The sequence below is a fragment of the Homo sapiens genome, chromosome 10, assembly GCF_000001405.40.
Source record: "Homo sapiens chromosome 10, GRCh38.p14 Primary Assembly".
NCBI classification, from domain to species: domain Eukaryota; kingdom Metazoa; phylum Chordata; class Mammalia; order Primates; family Hominidae; genus Homo; species Homo sapiens.
The window spans coordinates 25,211,044-25,237,199 of NC_000010.11; the positions used below are offsets into that span (position 1 = coordinate 25,211,044).

At 37.0% G+C, this 26,156-nt stretch overlaps 1 protein-coding gene across 2 annotated transcripts in view; it reads left to right on the forward strand.

The window, feature by feature from the left end:
• GPR158 (G protein-coupled receptor 158) overlaps positions 1-26,156 on the forward strand; it is a 427,229-nt gene that overhangs the window by 36,043 nt on the left and 365,030 nt on the right. For both annotated transcript variants that reach the window (XR_930512.4, NM_020752.3), the window contains exon 2: positions 10,009-10,114. Coding sequence is in view for 1 of the 2 variants with exons in the window: in NM_020752.3 (NP_065803.2) it covers positions 10,009-10,114 (106 nt within the window). In the remaining variant the exon portion in view is untranslated. The remainder of the gene's footprint in view (positions 1-10,008; positions 10,115-26,156) is intronic.

Sequence of the window (26,156 nt, forward strand, 5' to 3'; positions counted from 1 at the left end):
ATCGCTTAAACCAGGGAGTCGGAGGTTGCAGTGAACTGGGATTGTGCCACTGCACTCCAGTCTGGTGACAGAGGGAGAGACTGTCTCAAGAAAAAAGAAAAAAAAAAAAACAGAATTTTAAAAAATTTCTGATGTTTTTCACTTAATCAAAATTTTGCCTTGTGTTTTATGCTTTTGGGTTTTGTTTGTTGTCTCAGTGTGTTTTGTGCCACTATAACGATACCTGAGACTAGGTAATTTATAGAGATTAAAATCATTAGACATTTATTTGGCTCACAATAAATGATTAGAAGTTTATTTGACTCACAATTCCGGAGGCCAGGAAGTCCATTGTTGGGAGGCCACACGTGGTGAGGGTCTTGTTGCTGTGTCATCTTGTGGCAGGAGGTGAAAGGACAAAAGAGCCTACTCGTGCACAGGAAAAAGGGATGGGGGGAGCGCATGCACAAGAGGAGGCCAAATTTGCTTTTATAGCAAACCCACTCCCTTAATAACCACATTAATCCATTCATGAGGGCGGAGCCCTTATGACCAGTCACCTCTTACAGGTCCCATCTCTTATCACCGTTGCACTGGGGATGAAGTTCCTAACACACGAACTCTGGGGGACACATTTAAGCCATAGCATTTAGGAAGCCTTCTGATACCCTGTCACAAATATTCTCTTATGTTATCAACTACTATATAATTTTACCTTTCGCAGTCAAGTTGTTAACATTTGGAATATACCTGTGTACATGGTATTGGGTAGTGATCCACTTATTATATTTATCCATTAGTGGCCCAAGTTCCTAATACTACCTTCCTTTATCATAAGTATAAGTGCCTCATATTCATATGTCTGTCTCTGAGCTCTCTATTTTGTTCCATGGCTTCCCATGTCTGCCACAATTGGGTAGTATGTCCTAATATTTGGTTGGGCAAGTCCTCTTTTTCTTTTTCACAACTTTTATTATTCTACTTAAACTTAAGCTATTTCTCAAAAATTCATACAGAATTTTGGTAGGTTTTGCATTAATTTTATACTTTCATTTGATGAGAATTGACATTTTTATTTCAATGAATTATCCCCTTTCAGAGAATGGCATGTGTGTCAGTCTATTTTGCACTGCTATAAAGAAATACCTGAGACTGGGTAATTTATAACGAAAAGAGGTTTAACTGGCTCACAGTTCTGCAGGCTGTACAGGAAGCATGGCAGCATCTGCTTCTGGGGAAGCTTCAGGGAGCTTTTACTCATGATGAAAGGCAAAGTGTGAGCAGGCGTCTTACATGGGAGGAGCGAAGCGGGGTGTGCTACACACTTTTGGACAACCGGAACTTACGAGAACATACTCACCATCACAAGAACAGCACTGAGGGGATGGTGCCAAGCCATTCATGATCCGATCACCCCCCACCAGGCCCCACCTCCAACATTGGGGATTACAATTCGACATGAGATTTAGGCGGGAACACAGATCCAAACCATATCAGTATGTTTCTCCGTTAATTCAGATCATTTATTGTTCTTCATTAAGAGTTTTCAAAATTTTTCCATAGAGGTTTTGTGTATTCTTACTTAACTACTAGAGAATTTATAGCTTTTTTTTTTTTTTTTTTTTTTGAGATGAGTCTTGCTTTTGTTGCCCAGGCTAGAGTGCAGTGGCGCCATCTTGGCTCACTGCAACTTCTGCCTCCTGGGTTCAAGCGATTCTCTTGCCTCAGCCTCCCAAGTAGCTGGGAGTACAGGCGCCCGCCACCATGTCCAGCTAATTTTTGTATTTTTATTAAAGACGGGGTTTCACCATATTAGCCAGGCTGGTCTCGAACTCCTGACCTTGTGATCCACCCGCCTTGGCCTCCCAAAGTGCTGGGATTACTGGTATGAGCCATGGTGCCTGTCCTGTAGGTTTTGTTACTATTTTAAATGTTGTCTTTTTAGTTATAATTTTTTTTACTGGAGATTGTTGTAGAGAAATGCCAGTGCTTTTTGTTCTTTGATCTGGTATCCAGCAACCTTACTGAACTTTCTTATTCTCATATTTATCTGCTGATTTTAAATGATCATATCATGTACAAATAATGACAAATATCTTCACTTCTGATCTTTATATCTCATTTTTCTTTTTCAGTTTTTTTGGTTTTTACAGAATTAGTCAAGAATTCAGTACTATGTTACATAGCATCAGTGATACAGTAAGCATTCTTGCCTTAAAGGGAACATCTTAAAAAAAACTTCTCCCGTAAGAGTAATGTTGGTAGAGGCAAGCTTTGGAATTTAAGAAAGTTTCCTTCTATTTGTAGTTTGCCATTAAAAATAATTTAGTTGTTGAACTTTGTAAAATGCCTCTTTAGTTTGATTAAAATAATTTTTTCTCATTTATTTTGAATTTTTTGATATATTTTTCCAGTGCTAAAACAACTTTTCATTCTGATATATATTCCACTATATCATGACATAATTATTTTAATATATGTAAACATTTGTTTAGCCCATATTTCCTTTAAGACTCTTAAATCTACATGCATAGTTAAAAGGTGGCTGCATTTTTTTTTTATTGCCCTCATGTGGTTTGGAATAAAAATCATGTAAAGTGAGCTGGGTGGGTTGTTCTTTTCTTTTTTTGTGTGTGAAAACATGAAAACAGAACTGTTCATTAAAAGTTTGGTAGAATTCGTATATAAAGCCATCTAGGCCTGAAGTTTTCAGGGAAGGGAATGATTTAAATTTTTTATGCTTATTGTGCTATTAAAGTTTTTTCTTCCATTTGGGGCAAACTGGCATTTTATATTGTCTATCATCTTATCTTTTTAATCCTTCTCTTTTAGTTTTTCAAAGTTTGTTAGAGAGCAATTTATCCTAATACTGCTTTTTAAACATTCCTTTTTGTCTCTTCATTCTGCATATTATTTGCATATTTTCTGTTTATTTGCATATTGTCTCTTTAATTCTTGAGTCTCCCTTATTATTACCATGTTTTTCTTTTGAGATGGAGTCTCGCTCTATCGCCCAGGCTGGAGTGCAGTGGTGAGATCTCGGCTCACTGCAAGCTCTGCCTCCTGGGTTCACGCCATTCTCCTGCCTCAGCTTCCCGAGTAGCTGGGACTACAGGCGCCCGACACCACGCCCCGCTAATTTTTTGTATTTTTAGTAGAGACGGGGTTTCACTGTGTTAGCCAGGACAGTGTTGATCTCCTGACCTCGTGATCCACCTGCTTCGGCCTCCCAAAGTGCTGGGATTACAGGCGTGAGCCACCACGCCTGGCCGAGTCTCCCTTATTTATTTACTTATTTTTAAAAAAACTAGTTTTCTATAACTAGAAAGTTTTTAAAGCTATTTTAAAATACTTTTAGACTTTCAGAAGATTAGTAAAGCTAGAAAAGAAAGTTTCTATAGACTCTTTACACAGCTTCCTGTAGTAATACATCTTACATAACCATGGCAAAATTATCAAAAGTAAGGAGCTAATATTAACTCAACTACAGGCTTCATTCAGGTTTCCTGTTTTTCCACTAATGTCCCTTTTTTGCTCCAGGATATAAATCAGGATACCATATATTATGGTATGAATTGTGTTCTCCAAAATTGATATGTTGCACTCCTAACCTCCAATATCTCAGAATGTGATTGTATTTGGTGATAGGATCTTTAAAGAAGTAAGTTAAAATGAGGTCATTTAGGGTGGGTCCTAATCCAACTTGACTGATGTCCTTATAAGAAATGAGGAGACAGACATGCATAGAGGGAAGACCATGTGAAGACACAAGGAGAAGATGGCCATTTACAAGTCAGGGAGAGAAGCTCAGAAGAAAGCAACTCTGCTGACTCCTTTATGTTAAACTTCTAGCTTAAAGAATTGTGAGAAAATAAAAGTTCTGTTGTTTAAATCACCCGGTCTGAGATACTTGGTTATGGCAGCCTTAACAAACTAATACACCATATTTTATTTGCTTGTTGTGTTCCCATAGAAAGTTTTATTTCAAATTCAGCAGTCCTGGCTTTTTATATTTCTTCTAAATTTTGTTAAAAATCTAAGCGGCTCCATAGCAAGATTATTTACAATAGCCAAAAGGGGGAAGGAACTCAGTGGGCCCACCACAGATGAATGGCTAAACAAAATGTGATGTGTATATAAAATGGAATCTTGTTAAGCTTTAAAAAGGAAGGAAATTCTAATACATGCTACAACATGGATGAACCTCGGGGACATTATACTAAGTGAAATAAGCCAGTCATGAAAAGACAAATACTGTATGATTCCACATACATGAGGAACCTAGAGTAGTTAAACTCATAGAGACAGAAAGTAGAAAAGTAGTTCTAATCCAAGTGCTTGGCAGAGTTGAGGAATAGGGATTTGTCATTTAAAGGGAACAGAGTTTCAGTTTTGCAAGACGAAAAGAGTTCTCAAGATTGGTTGCACAATAATATGTATGAACTCAATACTACAAAAGCGTACATTAAAAATGGTTAAGATGGTAAATTGTGTTATGTATATTTTACCACAATTAAAAAGCGAAAACATGGCTGGGCACAGTGGCTCATGCCTGCAATCCTAGCACTTTGGGAGGCTGAGGCAGGTGGATCACCTGAGGTCAGGAGTTCAAGACCAGCCTGGCCAACATAGTGAAACCCAGTCTCTACTAAAAATACAAAAATTAGCAGGGCGTGGTGGTGCGCACCTGTAGTCCCAGCTACTCAGGAGGCTGAGGCAGGAGAATCACTTCAGCTGGGGAGGTGGAGGTTGCAGTGGGCTGAGATCGTGCCACTGTACTCCAGCCTGGGTGAGAGAGACTCTGTCTCAAAAAGCCAAAACATAAAACCACAAACCAGCTCCTTCTTTAGTCCATGTCTTTCTTTTTATATTTATCAGTGGCAGCTAGCATTTGTCTAGAAACTTTCTCAGCTGAATCTACAAATTCACTTGTTCACAGGTGACGGTGCTGTCAAACTTTCTACCTACTATATAACAAAAGTCCCTTTTGTTCCTGCCTCCAATAACATTTTCTTCATTGTCCTTCAAAACTGACCAACAAATTCCCCTTTCATTAACCATCACTGAGGCCCTTTTAGCTTTTGCTTGTTCCCAAAGCCACTAGCATAGATTTAGAGTTTTTATTATGGCAGCAGTCCGTTTCCAGGCACTGGATTCTGTTCTGGTTGTCTATTGTTAGAAGTGAATGACTGATGGCAGCTGATCTACAGGCACCTGTTTTCATCAATCAATTTCAGCACAGCTTCTACCTTGATATCCCATCAATGTTGACTACATATGCTGTTACTGTCCATTGTTTTGTAGTGATGGAGCAGAAAAATTATTGTCCAAGGTAACATGAGGAGGGAGGAAAAGCAGAATTTCAAGTCTTTCCATCAATCTATCCAGTCTCTCTATCCATTCCTCCATAGCAGTTTATGATACTTTCAATTTGCTTGGGTATTTTTTGGGGGTGGGGGGAATGTCAGTTTAGCTACTCCTTGCTTCTCTCATGTCTGTAGTTCCTCCAAAGTTAATTTTGGGTGTGGGCTGATTTAGGAGCTAAGGAAAAATATTAAAAAAGATATAGACCATGGAAATTTTAGTGGGGAAAACATATCATTGAAAATCAAATATTATAATATAGTGTGCTAATTGATATGAAGAAGGTAAGCACACTGCATTATGGGAGAATAAGGGACTCTCTTCCATATCAGACTTGGAGTTCATGGGAGGCTTTAGAAAGTGGCCAGGTAGGAGTTATAATGTAAGGCATGGTTTAGGCAAAGGGATTTCAGGTATAAAGACGTCTGTGAAAGAATGGTTTGAGATAGCATGAATTTTTTAGGGCCCTAAATGTAGTTCTGAATTGTCTGGAATAAGGAATATATGCATGACAGTGGTTGGAGAAGTTAGAAGTAGGAGGGCCCTGATTATGTCATTCCAAGGAACGTGGATTTTATTATTTAGGAAAGTGAGTAATATTGATTTCAAGTAGGGAATTGTCGGGATTGGGTTTATATGTTTCAAATATTACATAGAAAGCAGTGTATGATTCTTGGGCTTCAGCAACCCTTACTTGCATGGGAACTTTCTAAAATCCTGGAATGGGTACTAGAAATGAGTTTTGTGGTCAACTGTTCTCATAAAACTTGCAAAAATAAGATATTTTGAATGCAATGGTCTCTTTCTGGTATAATGTGCCTCCATTACACTTTTCCTAGGCTTTGGGTAGTTTTGCAAACTGGAGGAACTTTAGGATTTTTTTAGTCTGGGTTAAGCAATATATGTTAAAGTTGTCTGTGGTCACTTCTGTGTATAGCGAAGTTACTGGTCATTCTGGTATAGAAATGGCTTCTGGTAATACTCTTAATGCCCATGGTGCCTACCCATCCAACAGTTACCACCGAAAGACCTAGGGCCAAAGGTCATCTCGTCACATACATGTGTATTCATGATTTTGTTTTTCTTAAAGAAGGTCCCTAAACCATATAAACTTCAAGAGCTACAAACCAGGATCTTTACTTGGAGCAATGCCAAACAGGACCCAAGAGTATGCTAGTATTAAATTTGTTTAACCCGTGAAAGATGAGGGCCTGAAGCAAGGCAGTGGCCATGCATATGGAAGAGAAGAGTCAAGATACAAGAAGCACAAAGGGAGTCCAACCTATGGCACTTGGCCATTGCTTTGACTTGGAGGTCCATTCACAGAGAAAGACCAGTAGGGAAATCGTGTTTGATGGACTGAATCCTGCTTCGGGCTTGTTGTTCTATTAATGGACAAATAGAGGAAAATGCTGGTCTGTAGTGTAGCTAAGCACCCAGGTGTTTAGGGGATCCGATTTGCTATATTTTCCATTCTCTGGAGGCCACTTACACGCTTTTTTTTTGACCCTCACTTTCCTGTCCTGAGGCCATGAAACAGCAGCCAGCTTTTCAGTCTCAGAATTTCCCAGGAGCCCTTCAACCCCTGAGATGCCCACTCGGGACAGAGGGCACAGGCGCGATGGGGCTCTCACCTTGCCTGGTCTGCGATGGGACACGTGGGTCCTTAGGTGTTGGATCTTTGCGTCCCTTTCAGCGGCAGGATGCTCTTCCCCACAAAGAGAGGGTTTTCTTTCTGTTATATCCCCCAAACCTCCGCTTCCCCCCGACAGGAAGTCTACAGCGCCTTCCCCAGGGTTTTGTAAGTCTCTGGGCGCCCAGGCTTAGGCTGTAATGAAGAAGCCTCGTTGATTTCCCAGCTGGGAAACGTAGCTCATTATATTCCACGGTTTTGCACAAGCCTGGAATGCTTCACGGGCCGGGCTTGAGGTCTGCGGTGACTTTTTAGTTTCCATGTACGAACTTGGAATGAAGGGCGAAAGCTTTCAGTCAGTTGAGCTGCCTTTTTCTGAAGTCAGTTTTCTCCAGGGAAGGAAACGATCACAGTAATTGCAGCTTTTTATTTTCCAAGTTAGCCGATGTCTGAGTAAGCTGGAAGATTTGAGATTTCCACTGTCTGGGAACTGGACTGCTATGGTAGGATTGTTGAGAAAAACTTGACCTCATTATAACCAACCATTGTGGAACGAGTAGAAATGCCTATTGATTAGTTTGCCAATTACAAATACTTTCTAAATAAGATATTCAAGAAAGATAACCAAAATGTAGTGGACAACAGTAGTCCGGTGAGAAGCTTTATGATACTGGTGATTTAGAGTGTGCTTATAAACCAGCTCTAATTATGCCTTGAACTGTGTTGAGTCAGAAATTTCACCTCAGTGAGATTTATCCTGACCACCCTTTAAAAAAATTTTAAAATTTTTCTATTTCATCCCCTTTATCTGCTGGAAGTTGTTTTCCCCATGGAACTTATTTTTTTTTTTGTATAGTATAATTTAATCATTTATTTTACCTATTTCTCTATCCCACACTAGAATTAAACTCTATGAAGGCAGGATTTTGTGTTCCTGCTTACTGATGCCTTTCAAAAACCAAGAACAATTCTGGCACATAGTAAGCACTCACTGAGTATCTACTGAATCAGTGAAAGAAAGTTATTTCCAAGGAGCATAAAGTAGAACCAGAAGTGGGCTTACATGATTGGATTAACTTTGGTGGAACCTACTTCGATTGAAAGTTCTGATAGTGAAAGCAGTCAGTAAGTCAACGAATGGTTATTGAAGCCCTACGTTACTCCAAGTGATAGCTTTCCAAATCCTCTAGAATTTAGCATCTACTGTCCATTAAACACTTTGGTCATTTTCAAAATGTCTTATGCCTTTTACTGTTCCTTGGGGGTAGGTTTGCCTTTCTGTCGTGCATAGTGTTATCTTACAGTGATATGCACATACCAGACGATAAAAATTTGTTGAAAGAGGAAAGGCATGAACTGGATTAAGGCATTAGGTTACTTGGAAATCCATTTATTTATCACATAAACATTTGTTTTATTGCGTTATGGCCCACAACAGTAATATTTTGCAGAATGGGGTCTATATATCTGAATGATCAGCGTGTTTTCTGTAATTTTTGTGTTTTCATTTCACTGATCATCTGGAAAATCAACTCAAACATATTCTGGATTATCTGGATAAACCAAACACTGGCAGGAGGTTTTAGTGTCCCTATATATTTCTGTGTATGTTTTGAGCATGTAGGCACTAGGTAATGTAGTACTTTTCTCACAGGTTAAAGAACAGAGGCAGACTGAAAAAATAAATGATTTATTCACCCCAAAGGAAGCCCAAGTGGCATTAAGCCATGCTGTTAGAATGCTTCACAGTAGTTTAAAAGGAGAAAAGAGATGAGAGAAATGAGTCATAAGATGTGTGGCAAAATAGGATTGTTGAACTAGCAGTCAGTACTATATTCCTGTTTTGAGAGGTGATTTTGTTTTGGCAAAGCATAATGTTTGGTTTTCTTAAATTAATATTTTAAATTTGGTTTTTGTCGGTTTTATACTTTTGTTTGCATTTATTTTGTAATTGTGTGGGATTCTTTGTAGCTACAGGAGCTATAAAATCAGGAATTTGAGGCTACTTTTATATTTTATGTATATGAGTGATATCATAATGAAAAATTGTTTAAATTAGGGGTGTGGGGCCTCAAAAATGTGTTTTTACTTTGAGTAGTTTGTAGTGGGGTATATATACTTTACTTAAGTTTATGAAAAACTACATTATAAAGCTTCAGGGCCCAGGATGCAGAATACTTATTTCAATAAAGTCCATGTGTGATAGTGCAGTGTTGGACAGATATTTCTGCAGCAACTGCTGCTAGTGGTGCTGCTGGTGGTGAAAAATAGAAAGGAGGGAATCTTAGGAAAACAGAGAGAGAAAGTTGGCTGGAGGAAGTGGAGGAATTTTAGCCCAACTTGGAGCTTTCTTTGCAATTTAGCTTTTGACTGGCTCTGAATTTGTGAGTTGTCTTTCTTAGTGACACTTCTCAAATGGCTAAGTGAAATGCAGTCTCTTCGTTTCCAGATTTAAAAGAAAAAAGAATGTAGTCATCATTTCTGTAGTGAGGCAAATCTCTGTTTAATGTGGAACACTGGGAGACCTAAAGAGCTGTTTAGAGTTATTAAAATGAGAGATCAGAGGAAAGAGATGCTTATTTTCTGATACTGTCCTCCCTACTCAATCTTCCTAGCCCTGCAATGGGAAATAGAAGTAGAAAGAAATGAACTGAAGGCTTTATTTTAATTTACTTTACTAGAAGGGGTTCTGAGAGCAAGTGTTATTTTAGAGTCACATTTTCTGCCATGTCTAGAGCAATATTGTCCTGGAGTTCAGGCAATCAACACATATTTATTGAGCACCTATTATGTACCAGGCATTATATAAGGAAGTGAAGACAGCTCCCTGCCTTTGGACTTACATAAAGCCAATACTTAATGATTTTCCTATACTGTGTGTCTTCTCTTGGTGCACTTTGGTTGAATATGAGTAGGCAATTTGACAATTTTTGGCATGTTCTTTATGATAATTTTCTAATTTCAAGCTTAAAATACAGAGAAATCATAAATGTCCAGATTAATTTGTTCTTTTTATCCTTTTCTATTTCTAGGGGTGTCATGAAAGTTGACATAAATCTTCAGAAAGTGGACATTGACCAATGCTCAAGTGATGGCTGGTTTTCAGGAACTCATAAATGCCACCTCAACAATTCAGAGGTAAGAAGATGAAAATAAAATCCTCTTTAAGCTCAGGAATACATTATTTTGAATATGTTATATTTGTGTGGGTAAATGAACAAGAGGCATCTTACTGGGAAGAAAATCTATGTAGGTCTCAGTGCTGCCAAATGAACTAAAATAGGAGTAGAAAATAAAATTTGTATAGAATAACTGTTCGCTTGGGGACTGAAAGAAGGCCAAAACTACAATTACATCTGAAGTTTGACTTTAGTCAAAGCCTGGCCCTATTCTTCAAAATGGGCTGGAAATTTAAAATAGTCCTGAGATGAGAAACCAGTCCCAGGAATGGTCAAAGAAATTATGACTGTTTTTATGGAATATGATGCTTATTGAAATATTGGTGGTATTCATTCAGACACACTGCTATCTGCTAGAAGAGCACTAGAGAAGGCATGGTGGGGCAATTTTGAAAACAAGGAGAAAACACTGTACAGGGTCCTGGAAAGGAATTGTGTATATGTGTGTGTATTTGTTCAGTTTTTAGTCCCTATTCATGCTTGATTTGACGATACTCTGGTTAATAGGAAACAGGCATGGAGATCATGCTTCTGGAAATAAGACTATCACTTGTCTTTTGTAGTTTCAGAGAAGGAATATGATGACATACTAGTGATTTCATTTTTAGTAGTCCATTTCCAAGGTCCTCAAACTATGGAACAAACATACAATAAAGTTCTTGATCTTAAATACTTGGGCTAGTCCAACATTGATTCCATGAGTTTGTGAGGAAAGTCAGCTTGCTTTATTTAAAATAGAGGGGATATTTCCACAAATGTAGTAATCTACAACTTTAATTTGAATTTTTGCCATTTGTGAAAGGTGATTGTATATAGTGTAATTTTTAAGGAAGGAATTTTAAATCAGAAGGAAATTTAGCAATAAGCACTTATTTGTGCCATTACACAAATGCACAGACAGTTGCACAGGTATACATGCATGCATATACATGTATATACGCCCATTGAGTGTTTACCATGTATACACCCACCACGCATACTCCTGCCACACACAACCCACATACCCCTGTACTCCCACACTCCCAACTATCTTTTCACTGTTTCTCACATCCGCCATACATTCCACACACACTTCCACCCCGCCACCACACTCTCCACAGCATCCCTCAATCCTCTTGCCCCCAACCTGTAAGAAGCCCCCGTAATGCTCCCATATCCCTCTAAATCTATCACATCTCTCCACCATATCCTGATGATCCCCCACTTCATCAATACATTCCCACAGCCCCCCCATTCCCTCACATCCACACACTTCCTCCCACATCTCCATACACCTCCACAGAGACTGCCATCCACAGTTAATGTTTCTGCCTTGCTAACTCACAAAATTAAGCTCTTCTTTTTGTCTCCTTTAATTGTTCTTAGGGTTTTGAACATTTCTGAGCCTCCACTTCGGATGATTCTGGCATTTCTAAGATGTGAATTTCAATCGCTTGGCTTGGTGAATATCTTTAGCCTGATTATCATCTCTGTGCCAAATGTCTAGAGCAATATTGTTCTGTTAGGAGCAGATAGCCACTTAGCGTTGTCTTTTAGCCAGAATGGACTTTTTTCTGCATGGGTGTCATATTGTGGATATTGATCTGTGTGTGTTCATTTCTATATAGCCTTGTGTTAGTGGTGCTCCTGGGTGGTTCAATAAGCAGTCTGCCTAGAAACAAGGAGATACTTACTTTTCAGTTTGTTACAGTTGCTGCTTGCTTCTAATAATCATGGTGTGGTTTTGTGTCCTTACAGCGCATCTGTTTATTTGACTAGATGGTCATACTGAAAGAACCTCTTTCTCCTTTTGGAAGATTGATTTATTTTCATTGCATCAGGATGATTAATTTTCTGGGTTTTGTGTCTTTTTAAAGCTTTGAAATAAACTAGGTTATTTCAAGATAAAATATCCTCTATTCTGATTAACAAAGTTTAGGTTGAAATTTATAACTTTTGGGATTATATATGGGAACATTATATTTATTACATTCCTACTGAAAAAAGTGGAAAAAATATTCTACAATTTCATTTGAAAATATTGTAGAAAGAGGCTGAGTGATCAAAAAGTAATATCAAAACAATGGATCTACAGAGTGTATGTTCAACTTGCACTCTGTCATTCTCGCCCCCTTTCATTGCCCAGGTACTGGAGTTGGGAAGAAAGAATCTTTGTGTCGTGGGCTATGCTCAGGAGGCCCTCATGGGGTAGTCTTCCCTGCACAGGTCTGTCCTGGAACTCTTCACACATTGTATTGGGCTTCTCTAAGGTCGTATAGTTTGTGCTGGTCACTCTAGGTACCTGCAACAGTTTTGGACCACATCCTCAGTGTAGTTACTGGGAATAGTCTTTCAATTCCTTTCCCATAGGGATGTGAGTTAGAGATTAGAAGCTGGCTTCTCTGGAGGTTTTTACTGCTTGGGAAAACAGAAAGAAACATGTCTCACTTGTGGCATTTTTCATGTGTTCTGGCTCTACTTTATTCTTTGTAACAACCCCTCTGTTACCATCCCAAGGATCGCTGTGTAAACTGGCTTATTTTGGGAAGCACTTAACATCCACATTTGTAGGATGTAGGGTCCTGTCTTTATGAATGTCCACATCATTAGAAATAAAGACACTCATCTTGGTTTACAGTGGGTTTTATCTTGCTAATATTTAACATTCTTCTCCAGTAAACAATAGAGAAAGTTACAAATTTCAAAGTTATAAATGAGGCAAACTTTTCACTGTAAAAATTTTTCTAGCGATGTTGGAAAACTTTCCAGCCTCTAGGGTATGTACAACCAAAATATCAGGTCTGATGTTGGAAACAGATAAGTGATATGGAACCAATGACAAAAGCCTCAGGAGCATTTTAGAAAGGCATGGAATGGTTTGTGAAGAAAATAATCTCTCAGTGAGTTTAGGTCTTCACAAGGTCTAGGAGGCCACTAAGCATTTTTTGAAGGACATGTCTTAGTAACTAATCTAGATTACTGTAAAATAGATTTGGTCAGTTTTCACATCCTCTCCTACAGAATGGTTTAAACATAAAATTAATTCATATTAATTTTTGTTTTAAATATTTTCTTTTGCTTGTTTGAAGTGTAAAAAAACCATTGTTTGAAGTAGGAAATATTAGGAGAGTATCCTGGAAACTTTTTGGTTATATTCCATTAGTAAATACCTTTTAAACATCAGTCCAAGGTATATATATATTTTAAATTTAGAGTGTATATACATCTTTTGTTATATTTTTATGTTAAGTATATTATAAATCAGAAAATTTTACAAGATTGAGATGAAGATGAAATAATATTTTAATATAAATTATATTACTTTGTTAAAAGAATTATATATTTATAGCAATATAATTGATTCATAATTCTATAAAATTTTTAGTGAGACTGTTATGATTATGTCACAATTTTTGAAAATCTTAGTTTAATACTTAGTAATGCAGTGATTCAGAGGTCTCTAAGTTCACTTTATTTTTATGCTTAGTTTTAATATCTGTCATGGTTGAAAAAGATTCCTCACAAGGAGAAATCAGTCCAAATTGAAGTAATAAATTGTCAACTATGTTTGCTACCAATTTTTGCAGAGGTTTTCTTTACAGAGATACAGCTGGCAATTCTGCATCTTACTTGATGTCAATTGGTCCTCGCAAACTAATTCGAAACCTGGTCATTTTAATATTTTAAAGGAATCGGTTAAAAACCCACTGAATCTCTTCATGTTAAATATATTAAAGCAGACTAGGACATTTTATTTCCAAGTTTAAACTGTAGAGGTGTGTGAATACTTATAGATTTTGGCAACAAAAACCACTTAACACTGAAAACATTTTCAAATATCCATTTTCAAAATGCTCACTTGAAAAGACTTTCTCATGGATTGTTAAAATGGCTTTGAAGGAATGGTTTTTGTTGTTGTTGTTTTTTAAATACCTGTTTCATAGACACTATTGATAACCAACCACTTGCCATCCCAGAACAGATCAGCAGATTTGGAACATTTGCCTTTTTTTTTTTTTTTGTATAAAGCAATGTATAACCCATCTTTAAGCTCAGAAGTGAGCAGTTCATTTTGAAATAATCAGAGAATCTTTATGGGGGAAGATTTTCTGGGTCACACAGCATCTCATGAAGAATCATAAATACTTTATACTTTAAAACAATACACTCTGAAAATGCATCTAAATGGCCAAATATAAAGGCAATAAATGGAAAATTGAAGCAAATGAAGGAACCCAGTGACCAGTGTCAATGTTAATGTTTTTCTGTCTTGAAACTCCCAGTTTTCCTTCAGGATGTCTCAAGTGCATTCTCAGATGTGTGATCATGTAAAGTATAGATTGAGTGAGGGCATTAACATTAATCCAAGTCCTACATAAAACAAGGCTTAACAGCTTATGTTTCTTTTATTAAAAAGTTAAATGTAAACAGAAGTTCTAGTATTTTCTTTTTGCATGCCAATTAAAGTCGTGTTTATTCTGCTTTGGAGACCACTTTTTGAAGATACCAGATTCACTGGAGTGGTTGTGTTATCACTCCAGTCATTGGTCTTATATTGCTCTAAGACAGTTTCCCATATCTCCTCTTTTCTATGGAATGTATTGGGTGAAAATCTATTTGTAATTCTTTACTACTACATTAGATGTAGTTTAATGAATCTCTAAAGATAAATTTTAAAGAAGGCTAAAAAGGTAAGAAAACATATCATTTGGTATATGAGAAGAGGAATAGAATGCAAAGATTCAAAGAAAGCAGAAAAACCCTCTTACATACCAAATGTAACTTACTCATTTGACTACAGTGGGTTTAGAGTACTTTTCTAGAGATCTTTCATTTAGTTTAACTTTTCATTTACTGAATCACTTAGAAATAGCTATGTGTCAGTTCCATCTTGTGGCTGCTATCTCACCATTGCTCTTCTTTTCTCCAGAAAGTTTCTGTTTAACAAATACTATTGTTCACCTATCTCTAGAGCCATGCTGTCTAGTATGATAGCCACTAGCCACATGTTGCTTCTGAAGTTTAAACCAATTAAACAAAATCAAGAAAGGAAGTTTCTGTCCTCACTAACCTGATTTCAAGCATTTAATAGCCCATGTAACTAGTGGCTACCATGTTGAAAAGTGCAGTGGACTGCTCTGCCGTAGGATATAGTCTAGCTTATAGTGTAGTCAAGCCACACAGGCTTTTTAAAACTTTCAAATCCCTGAGTTTCCTTGTACACTTGTCAGTAACATTGCCTTAAAATTCACTGAGGGACATTTAAGAACAAACTTAAAATGAGTTTTGGCTTATGCAATCTTCTTATGATTTGTATTAGTGCAATTGAAACTAAGTAATGAGAATGTTGCAAACTATTTTTAATGCCATTATTTCACACTGGAAACTGTAATAGTCTCACAGTAAGTGAGGAGTAAACACTGGTAATCACTGTGGATATTTACATTTTAGTTGTATTTGTAGCACAACTTTTCTTTTCTCCTATTACTAGTGTGAAATGTGGTTATTTAATATAAAGTCACACTCTTCTTTTGGAATGTAGGACAATGATCAGGTGTTCATTTGTACCTAGAAACAGTACCTGACACTGTTGAATTAATGGAGATAATTTGCTGTTGTTAGATGGCCTCCCTCTAATGCATGGCCATCGCTTTTGACCAATTGCCTAAAATAAAATTAAACAAAATGTTTTTTGTAGTAGTTGCCTTTCAGGTATTTGAAGACTGCTGTTAGCTACCTTCTAAGTCTTCTTTCCTCTGTTTCAGTCACCCATCCCTGCTTTACCAGGCTTAGCCAAAGGAGGCCATATCACCACTGTATGGATGCTTATTTGTTTTTGGAGTTCTAAAGCCTATCTCATTTGATTTTGTTACAGTCTTTCTTTTTAAAATTAATAGAAACCGATGGTATTTTTTTGAGTTTTCCACTATGCTCTCGAGGGTTATTTGGAATAGAGATTCTCGAATTGTTTCAAAGCTAGGGTTAGAAATCACTGTGCTAAAACCACTGAGCTGGGGAGCCTAATAAGTCAGTTAAGGACAAGCTGGCTGTTTTAGATGTTCCCAGCAACTGAGCCAAGCGTTCACCAGTGGCTATCGCCATCTTGTGGTTGGGGGAAAGAGAGAGAGAAAATCTGTAGTAGGAAATTAAGTGACATTAAACTATTTCTTTGTTGTCTAGACATCTCTTTTACTATTAAAATACAATACATCTTTCCCTGCGTACAGTTTCAAGCTATTTGTGTGTTGTATTCTGGTTAAATACTAAACCACTGTTTCCATCACTGTCTCATGCAACCCAGTTCTGACTTTAGTCTATTCACATATAATTAGGTGTACTAGGCCTCTCTCTTTGAGGACAGTTTACAAGTTTGCTAAACTATTATTCTTAGTAATTTTTCTTCTTATTATTATGGTTAATAAGGTATAGGCTATTTTTTCCATGGGATACCTTTTATAACATTATTTCAAATTCATTATTTTAGGTCCTAGGGATACAGTGGTGAATAAGACAGAGGAAATTTATAATTTAAAAGATATCATTGCATTCTAGAGGGAACCAGAGAACTTAGAAATATACCAATTGACTTTAACTTTTTTATGTACTAAATTTTCTAGGTGATATGTACTAAAATATCGTATATTAATTTCTGAGACACAAGACTAGTCATAAAAGAGAAGTCTTCACACATATTTAAGAAGTGCAGGAATTTATTTATTGGATTGGCAAGCAGTAAAAAAGAATTGTGCTCAATGTTGGTGAGGATATTCTAATGTGATATTGGTAGGAATGCAAATGTTTATAAATTTTTTGACAATATGGTAAAAATGTGTCATCATTAAAAATGCATACTTCTTTGTTCTACCTGTTTTTTCTCTACTTCTACTTTAAATAATTTAAGCCTGGGGAACATAGCGAGACCCTGTCGCTACAAAAAATTTTAAAAAATTAGCAAGGCTTAGTGGCACATGCCTGTAGTTCCAGCTACTCAGGAGGCTGAGGCAGGAAGATCTTTTGAGCCCAGAAGTTCGAGGCTGCAGTGAGTTATGATTGTGCCCCTGCACTTCAGCCTGGGCAATAGAGTGAGACCTCATTTCTAAAAAAAATAATTTAAGAAAACATTAGAAAATTCTAAAATATATAAATATAATTCTAAAATATAATTCATAAATATATATGTACTAGACTACTTATCACAGTATTACATATAGTAGCAAAAATTTAGAAACAAATGCATAATAAAGAATTGGGTAAGTGACTTACAATGTATCCAAATAATATTATACCATTGTGCTCCTTAAAATGAATACTGTTCATTCCTTGATGTAGAATGATGTTCATTATATATTTTAAAGAAAATAAACAGGTTCTCCAGTATGGTTTAAGGATTAGTAAGCACTTGGGGATATAGAGAAAAGTGATGATTGTAAGAAAGGCTTTCTGGCATGTATGGAGTAGATGAGTAGAGGCTTGGTAAGAAGCAGCCAATGTTTTTTTCCCCCTGAATGTGAGCCCCTTTAGTTTTGAGAAGTGAAATTTATTACTGTGGAAATGTGTACAAGATGATTTGTAGGCCGGGCGTGGTGGCTCACGCCTGTAATCCCAGCACTTTGGGAGGCCAAGGCAGACGGATCACGAGGTCAGGAGATGGAAACCATCCTGGCTAACACGGTGAAACCCCGTCTCTACTAAAAAAAAATACAAAAAATTATTCGGTTGTGGTGGCAGGTGCCTAAAATCCCAGCTACTCGGGAGGCTGAGGTAGCAGAATGGTATGAACCCCGGAGGCGGGGTTTACAGTGAGCTGAGATCGTGCCACTGCACTCCAGCCTGGGTGACAGAGCGAGACTCAATGTCAAAAAAAAAAAAAAAAAGATGATTTGTATAAGCTAGCTCGCAGTTTGTAAGAGGAGGGTAGATTAAAGGCAAGAGGGCATATGCAACCTCAAAAGAAAAATCTGTCTATCTTATAAATGTTGGTGGTGTCTCTATCTAGAACTTGTATGGAGCTGGGAAGAAGACGATGGAGAAAGACAATTTGAAGAACCTTGAGCATACCTGTGAGGAGGTGGCAGATTCATCGCTATATTTAGGGACTCCCTTTTCCTTTGTGGATCATAGGGAGGATTACTAACGCAAATAACCCCAAAATTGAAGGTTACAGTAGGAAGTGGATGGATTCACAGTAAAGACTGGATAAATTTTACTTTTTCTGTTGTTTCCACTCAATAGATTTTTATCAAAATCTAAAAATCTTCTTATTAATTTTAACACTAACGATGGCTGCAACTACTTGGTAGTGCTTGGTTTGGGTCAAGAATTGGTCTTTGTGCTTTATATGCATTTCTTTAATCTTTAAAGCCTCTATTTTACTGATGAGAAAGCTAGGCCAAGACAGGTTAAATAACTTATTTATAATCATACAAATAGTATTTGGTAAAACTGGGATTAGAATCCAGATTTATCTGATTCTAGGCCTATTTTTGTTTTACTACAATCATATCCTTCTTATTTTCTAGGAAACATGTAACCAGATGAATTCATTTAGGATTAGACATGAGGATGTATGGGGTATTTTAGATTACAAACTACATTTAACCTTGGAAATTGGGTAGGAGAGATGATGGGATATTATCCTGTACCAGGTGTCACTTTAGACATGGTGCTTTGGCATTTCATAAAGTAATTGCTGTGAAAATCCAGCATCCTTCTCAGTAGGAGAGGAATTGAAGTTCCCATAGGCCCTGGATTTGTTTAAGTCTAAGGCTATATATTAGGAAGTGATTGAATGGACTGATATGAACTTTCAGTGAAGGTTATGGTCGTTTGTTATAGGGCTTTATGTGGGGCTTTGTGCTTGCCAGAATGTTCATCTATTCTTTGAATAATGATATAGAAGACACATAGTTAAGAATAACAAATTCATTCAAAGTTAAAATCAGTGACTAAAAAGATATTGCGGGGTAGAGAAATGGACAACTGCATCACAATGAAAGTTAATCAGAACAAAGATAAGATCCTGAATGTGAATCAAAATTCCTATCTTTCTGATCATAGGAAGAATGATGTGGTTTGGTTTGATCACATGTGAATGATATTTGGGAGGATAATTGAAAGTTGAAAATAAGTCAACAGTATGGTGTGGCTGCAGAACCATAGCAAAAGCCAACATAGTCTGAGGTTGTTCTCTATATCTGGAGAGGCTTATATTTCAACTGTATTCAGAACTTAGCAGAAAATACCTAAAATGGTATGACAGTTTTCAGTTCTCATACATTAAAATGTGTGTAGATAAAGTGGAAACACTCCAGAAGAGAAAATTTGTATTACGAAGGACTTTGAAACCTTACTTTTTGAAGAATCAAAGAAATTGAGAATGTTTTTCCAGGAAATAGAAGACTCGTGGGTGATGTGATAACTGTCTTCAAATATCAAAATAGCTATTATATGGATATTTTTACTTTTTCTCAAGGAATACAGGGGCTAGTCTGTGACTTACTGGTAAAACAACAGGAACTGCAGAAGGCTCTGTTTACCTCAATGTAACTGGAACTTTTTAATAATCAGATTTTTTTAAAAATGAAAAAGGCACATTTTAAAATAGTAGATTATAAATTTGAATGTCACGGTTATTCAGTCACACCTTGCAGGGATGACCACCTGGAGAGGATGTTGTAGACTTTGGTATTTTCAACAGTGAAAGGTACCACATGACAATTTTGTGGAGCTCGTTAAAACTGCATGCGATATTGGCTATATGTTTGGACTAGATACCTCTAAATTTTTCTGTAGTGTTAAGATTTTATACCTAGTATACTCTAAAGGGAACCACTAAAAGATGTTTCCATCCGAAAGAATACTCTCATTGTCCTTGTACTGGTAATACTTTAAATTCTCACTTTATATGTGCTTGTGCTTGCCAAAGGTGAGATTTTCTGATTTTTCTCTGTGATAATGATAAAGCAAACTATTATTCAGCATTGCCACGTTCATTCAAGCTAGCTTATAGGAGTTGATGTCCAGTTACCCCTTAAGCACTTTTAGGTTGTTAATGCAAGACTGATACATTTTGATGAAAGTGAGATGAAAAAGCCAAAAAATGTTTAGCTGACCTTCGATTGCAAATCTGGGATAATCTGAGCCAGAAAGGAGGCAATATTATAGGAAGCACCATTGATTTTTAAAAATAATCTAATTTGCCTCTTCTGCTTATCAAGGAATCAGATACTTTAGAGTAGGAGATAAATCAATTTTCCAGCTAGAATGGGGTCATGGTGTTTGGAGTCTGCTCCTGAATGACACTGCTTTTATACAATCTATGTCACTGGATTGTGTCCCCAACTTTCTTGAATCTGTTGCTCTAATGTTAGGACCTTTGAAATATTTGAATTAGAATGTACAAAGGAGAGAGCTACCTGACCATCCAAGGTGAATAGACTGCCTCTCTGTCTGTACACGTTATCTGGGCATCAATTAAAAGGCTGGTGTTAATGGAAGGGACCTACTCCTAGTAGAGAATTAGAACACAAATCGGAATGTGGGAATATAACAGAGGTGAATATGGAGGATGGCAGCTTACCATGCACAGGGATGACAAGAGGATTCAGAGGATTCACTACATTTATGATAATATATTATTCTAAATTGTAATATGAAAATATATGTTATGGACTCTAACCCTTGCTAAATACAAACATGCAAAATGCTTTGAAGCTTCTCTGTGACCTCGGGATCAGGGTGAGGCTGAGTTTGAAGGTGGGTGATCTGCAGCATATGCAGGGCAGGGCAAGAGTAGGCTGGGGCGAGAGAATTGACTTGCATACACCAAAGGATGTGAACTCAAAGTACCAGACTTTCTTGATCTTTTCAACTCAGTGGGAGAACATCTGATGAAATATGAAGTTAGTGAACAGATTTGGAATATGTAGCTAAATTTATAATGGAGCCAATCAGGGGGAAAAAACCTACCTATTAAACCTTTGCTTTTGTCATATTCAGTAGCAGAAAAATTGCTACTTGTCCAATTCTAGATATGAGAGGCAATCAGAATATACAGTGAGTGCCTGAGGGTGACTTTTTGGGGGTTAAATATAGCTTTGCATCATTAACTTATGTGGGAAAAAAATCCCATTATGACAGCAAATCAGATCTAATCTGGCACTCCCTCTGCTACAATTATATAAAATATGGTGGAAAGTTGTCAAAGCTTTCAGTGAGAAATGAGGCTACGGATGCTTGGCAGCCCCCTTTTTGAGCAAGTGAAGAATCATGTTGCTTAGCTACAGCCCTTGGCTGATTTAGAGAGCTTTAACTGACTGTATTATACAAGAATTAAACTCTGTTCCCTGATATCTTCTTTTTCTAAGATGAAAGGCCTTATTTCCCACCTTCTTATTTTGTTGGTATCTTCACCAAGACGTTTATGTGTATTCATCCAGGACAGGTTTCGATTCATCATTGTTTTTCCCTCCCCAAGGGCCTATAGATTGAGAGAGAACAAGTGGGTGTTGATGATACAAGCAGAACATGAAGTATTGAGATCACTTGAAAACGCTTTTGTCCTCAAAGTAGTGTACAAGTGTCTATTTCAAATTATTTTTGTCATTTGAAGCCATTGTTTTTTGCCCCCCTCTTCTTTTAGCTTATTCATAGTTTGGGTTACTATTGTCTCTAAAATGCACAAGATTTTTGTATTTTAAAATATAAGCTCACACGTAGGTGTATGGAAAGTGGTAGGGAAGAGTGAATGTAATTGATGAAACAAATAAGAGTAAGGCTGGAAATGGAACAAAAGACCATTGAAAACAGAAGGATTAAGGAGAAAAAACAAACTGCAAATGGAGAATATTTAGAGCAGTTATTGTGCATGAAGTAGAAAAGTGTGTAAAGGGGGAATCGTTAGATGATCAGAGCCCATTTAGTGGGATAAACATGCTCAGAGGGACTTATAAGTCTGGAGGAGGATTTTGGTCCATGCGCTGTCTCCAGAAAGGAATATCTTTATTCTAAATATGTGGGTATCCACTTTATTTTTATAGCTCTTCAGGAAAGAGGGCTGTCCCTCAGCAGTGCTTTCTATTATCTTACCATAATTATCTGTAATGAAGTGAAGCCATGACCTAATCTTGATTGTGTAATTATTTCCATAGATTTTATTATTGGCTTGTCAGTACAGTCTTTGTTTTATGCATGCAAAAGCAGTTTCTTTTTTTTTCCCTGCTGGTGGTTACAATTTCATGATCACCTGGAGGAGATTCTATTGAGTTGATTCTATATTTACATTTGGAAATAGGATAATGGACAACTGTCTCTGTAGGCTTGGCCCCATTGCAATTCTAGATCTGTTGAATACCAGAATTTATAGGTGTACAAACTGAGCAACCCTGCTTATGGGCTATGCTTTTATGCTTGTCTGCAAATCATCTTTGTCTGCCACTTTTTAAAATATGTCTGTATAATGCAGTCATTTTCAAAGTGTGGTCCTGGGACCCCTGGGGGTCCTCAAGACCCTTTCAAGGGAGTCTATGAAGTTAAAAGTATTTTCATAGTAATTCAGAGCCATTATTTGCCTTTGGAACTCTCCATTCTCTTATGAGTATCCCGAGGTTATACAAGATGTGATATAGAAACAGATTAAATGCAGAAAGAGAGAGAGGAGAATCCAGTTGTCTTGTAGTAAGTCTAACATTAAAGAGATTTGCAGAAATGTAAAACAATGACCCTCTTCTTGCTAAATATTTTTTATTTTGGAAAATATAGTTTTTTTCATAAATATGTTACTTATGTTAATATATTTGTTTTATTGATTTTAAATGAATTAATACATATTTTGGAATTTTATCAGTTTTAATATATTAGATGGTAAATATCAATGGACATAACCCCCATAAATCAAAGCTCTTTGGGATACTCAGGAATTTTCAAGAGTGTAAAGGGGTCCCAAGACTGAAATGTGTGAGAGGTGCACTCATCAGCTACTGCATGATTTCTGACCTTAATTCCACTTCCTGGTTTCTGGACTCTCTCTCTCTTCCTTACTTCTGTGATTCGACTGGCAGACTTTTATAACTCAGTTGTTCCCCTCTGCCTTCCCTCCTGATCATTTCAGCCTTAGACCCCGCTGAATTCTCAGCCCAGTGTCATTAGAATTGGTGATGACACAAGCACAGTAATCACATTAATTAAAAGAGCAATCTATCCAAATTAACATTTCACATATTAGTTTGATACGTATTTCTAACTATAGTGAGTGCATTATGGGTAAGAATGTTCATTTATTATTTCACTTATATAGCTTAAGTGAAAACCACACTTTTAGGATTTTTATTTTGACTTCGTTTTCTTAAACAATCTTGACCAAAATGCCAAAGGATGGAATATTCTGTATTTTACTCTTCAAATTTTTCATATTGGGATTTTAAATCTAAATTGAAAATCATTTACATGCCAAGGTATTAGAACTATATAGAATTCTGCAGCCCTAAGTGTATATAAAGACCAATTTGTTTGTCTGAGTAGTGCTGATTGTTAATAATTTTAGTATTTGGTTACCAGTTAGATGGCTTATTCAAGTAATACCTCAAAAGTTTTTTTCTGAAGATTGGTCTGAAATTGTACACTGATCATTTGGTAAGCTGGCCATCTGCTAATTAATTTTAATTTGTAAGTAGCAGATTGTGAATTCAGTAAGCATCATTTTTTTGTATATAGCATCAAGATATTCTTAGGACCAAATGAGTACCATATATATGCAAAATGAAAAGTGAATTTGGGCTTTTTGTTCCTTTGTTGAAATAGTTCAGAGATTCCAGAATTCTTTTTTTATCCAAGTTTTTCACAGGGTTCTCTTTAAATAGGTAAAATAATTTATTGCCCCCTGTGTAATGATATTTTGTTACCCTTGCCACAAGAAGGTATGTGTTGAAGCTGAGCTTGAGTTAGGGAGTGGCAATGAGTAGAAATGAAATCCTACATCTTTTCTCTTTGGTGAGAATTGAATAGATCTTAAATTACAAAAGTGCTTGGTAGTCTGGTCTTTTTGGTGGCAATGTGTTAGGTGTTCTCTTTCCTTCTACATTAGCCACTTGTGATATAAATTTTACTTCAATATCTCATGAATCTATTTTCTTCTCTTATTCTTACTACATCTTAGTTCTATTCCATGATGCTTTGATATGCTTAGGAAAGTGATTACAATAATCTAGTAAAGTAACATATCTATCTTCTCACATGGTTATTTCTCTTCTTCCTTTTTTTTTTTTTTAATGGCAAGAGCACCTGAAATCTATCTGCTCTTAGCTTGCTTGTACTTTTGCAATACTATCTGTTTTCAGTTTTCTTCCTCTTCAGTTCGTCATTCATCGGGCAGTGTATTTTTCTAGAGATAGTATTGCATAGTAGTTAAAAGTGCTTGTTTTTGATTCAAACCACCCATATTTCTTAACCTTTTCATGTCTCAAATTTCTGTAAAATGAGGACAGTTTTTTTTAGCCTATGTAAAGTGTTTTGCACAGTAATTTTTTTTTTTTTTTTTTTTTGAGACGGAGTATCTCTCTGTCATCCAGGCTGGAGTGCAGTGGCAAGATCTCAGTTAACTGCAAGTTCTACCTCCCGGGTTCACGCCATTCTCCTGCCTCAGCCTCCCAAGTAGCTGGGACTACAGGTGCCTGCCACCATGCCCGGCTAATTTTTTGTATTTTTAGTAGAGACGGGGTTTCATCATGTTAGCCAGGATGGTGTCAATCATCTGACCTTGTGATCTGCCCGCCTCAGCCCCCCAAAGTCCTGGGATTACAGGCGTGAGCCACTGCGCCTGGCCTGCACAGTACATTCTTCATAAATGTTAGCCAACCTCCATAGCACTTTGTATGCTTGCAGTTATTATTTATAATTGTTTGTTTGTATCGATCTTCTATGCTAGACTGTAAGCTCCATGAGGGCAGAAACCAAATTAGTGTCATTCACCACTGTCTCAAGTGCCATAACCATGTTTATAATAAAGGCATTTAAAAAGTATTTGTAGTTTGCTTTCAAAAATCTAAATTTTGGCCGGGCGTGGTGGCTCACACCTGTAATGCCAGCACTTTGGGAGGCCAAGATGGGCTGATCATGAGCTCAGGAGATCAAAACCCTCCTGGCTAACATGGTGAAACCCCGTCTCTACTAAAAATACAAAAAGAAATTAGCTGGGCGTGGTGGTGGGTGCCTGTAGTCCCAGCTACTCGGGAGGCTGAGGCGGGAGAATGGCATGAACCCGGGAGGTGGAGCTTGCAGTGAGCCGAGATTGCACCACTGCACTCCAGCCTGGGCGACAGAGCGAGACTCCGTCTCAAAAAATAAAAAAAATAAAAAAATAAATTTCTTCTCATTCTGCAATACCCAACCACTTGCCTTCCATGATTCTACCATGCTTTTTCATGTCTCCATGGTTTTCTTTGCACATGCTGTTCCTTTGGAATAACATACTATTTCCCACTTTGGCCACCTGATCGAGTCATGCTTATCCTTTGAGTCCTAGAGTTGCTCTCGGTGAGCCTTTAGCAGCCTATTCTCCACTTCAGGCAGAAGATTGTTTTCTCCTATGTGCCACTGTAGTACATTGTACATGTTTCTACTGTAACACCTAGAATGCTGTACTAAAATTATTTGGTTGCTATTAATTACAATAACTACATTTATTGGATGCCTTTCCTTTCACTTTGTCAAATGTGTATGCATGAGTATTCATACAAATGTATATAAATGTATATGAAGTTGTATTTAATCTTCAAAGACATCCTAGAAAATATGTATTATTCTAATTTTACAGCTGAGGAAACTGAGACTCAGAAATTTTAAGAAATTAATATAGATTACCTATCAATTAATAATCCGGAGTGATCGATTGCTAATGCAAGAGTAGCTTGAGGCAAGGGCTGTGACCTACTTGCACATCTCATTGGTAAGGCTGTTTTGGTGGTTTAAGTTCATGGTTGCTAGTTTCATCACTAATTTATCTTAAGACCCATAAGAAAGATTTAGAT